At 50.9% G+C, this 1,861-nt stretch overlaps 1 pseudogene; it reads left to right on the top strand.

Moving 5' to 3' along the window:
- Positions 1-347: 347 nt before the first annotated feature.
- LOC100996362 (C-terminal-binding protein 2-like) lies at positions 348-1,858 on the top strand (annotated as a pseudogene).
- The last annotated feature ends 3 nt before the right edge of the window (positions 1,859-1,861 follow it).

The following is a 1,861-nucleotide window of genomic DNA, read 5'->3' as shown; positions in this document are numbered from 1 at the left end:
AAATCCACACACAAGCCCAGAGAAGACACATTGAAGACACTGTTAATGAAGAACCAGGATGTACAGCCTCACTGATTGTTGTATTATCTTGTAGTAAGCAAGTTTGTACATACTACATTACACAGTTGTTTTATAAATTTCTGAATCTCATCAAAAGATTGCAGGGCATACAGAAAAGGACGAAAACATGTCCCAATTGAAGAAATAAAATAAACCTACAAATATTGATCTTTAAAAATCTTTGTTGACTTTTAAAGGTCAAAATTTGTAGGTTTATTCTTTGTTGTTGTTGTTTTTGCATTATATAATTTTGAAAATCAAAATAATTATCAAAGCTCCTTAATGATATGAACACTCCTCCAGTCCGCAGGGCTCCGGCAAGGGAGGAGCTTAGACACCATGCGGGACACCCGGGTGGACCCCCAACCCACGCCCGAGGCTCAGAGCAGGAGCAAGGACCTGGCTGCACCAGGCCGAAGCCGCCTCCACCCCCAGCGGTCGCGGACTCCAGGAGCTCCAGACCTGGGGTCGTGGTGAGATTCGTTGATTGACTGCGCGATGGTGGCTGAGTTGCAACCAAATGGGTTTCATCACCTTAAATGGTTTTGAACCAATGAAGCTATATTCCCTTAAAGAGACGGACAGCCCATCGTGTGAACTATAGAGTTTGTGAACAAATTTATATTGGGTTCATAGTGGCATCATGCACACAGACTCCTGCGAGTTCCCCTAAGTTCTTAGAGGACTGCTTTACCTTTTGATCTGAGAGTTGCAAAGTTCCGTAAAGAATGGCCCTGTGGATAAGCGCTAAGTCAAGAGACAGCGATTGGACAGAATTTGTGAAGGAATTCGCCGCCAGATCACGAAAGACCCCCTAAGCCCCCGCTCACTGGCAGCGTTCCTGGTCGGCCGTGACTGCACTGTGGACATGCCCATCCTGAAGGCCACCGTGGCCTTCTATGATGCAGTCCACGCAGGAAATCCACGAGAAAGTTCTAAACAGAGCCGTGGGCCCCATGATGCACCACACAATCACCTCACCAGGGAGGTTCTGGCAAATTTCAAGTCCTTGAGAGTGATCGTGGGGGTGGGCAGTGGCTATGACAACGTGGACATCAAGGCTGCCAGCGAGCTCGGAATTGCTGTGTGAAACATCCCGTCCGCAGCCGTGGAAGAGACAGCCAATTCCACCAACTGCCACATTCTCAACATGTACCGGAGGAACACATGGCTGTACCAGGCACTGTGGGAAGGCAAGCGGGTTCAGAGCATGGAGCAGATCTGCGAGGTGGCCTCGGGAGTGGCCCGCATTCGTGGGAAGACGCTGGGCCTCATCGGCTAGGGTCGCACGCAGCAGGCTTTTGCAGTTCCAGCCACAGCCTTTGGATTCAGCGTCATGTTTTATTACCCCTACTTGCAGGATGGGATCGAGCAGTCCCTGGGCATGCAGAGGGTCTACACCCTGCAGGATTGGCTGTATCAGAGCGACTGCATCTCCTTGCACTGCAGTCTCAACGAACTTAAGCACCACCTCATCAATGACTTTACCATAAAGCAGATGAGGCAGGGAGCATTCCTTGTGAACGCAGCCCGTGGTGGCCTGGTGGACGAGAGAGCCTTAGCACAGGCCCTCAAGGAAGGCAGGATACGAAGGGCAGTCGTCGACGTGAACGAGTCGCAGCCCTTTAGCTTTGCTCAGGGTCCGTTGAAAGATGCCCCCAATCTCATCTGCACTCCTCTCACTGCCTGCTACAGCCAGCAGGTGTCACTGGAGATGAGGGAGACAGCTGCCACCGAGCTCCGCCGAGCCATCACAGGTCGCATCCCAGGAAGCTTAAGAAACTGTGTGAACGAGGAATTC

The sequence above is a fragment of the Homo sapiens genome, unplaced genomic scaffold (genome assembly GCF_000001405.40).
Source record: "Homo sapiens unplaced genomic scaffold, GRCh38.p14 Primary Assembly HSCHRUN_RANDOM_CTG1".
NCBI classification, from domain to species: Eukaryota; Metazoa; Chordata; class Mammalia; order Primates; family Hominidae; genus Homo; species Homo sapiens.
This window is presented reverse-complemented; position numbering and strand designations above follow the sequence as displayed.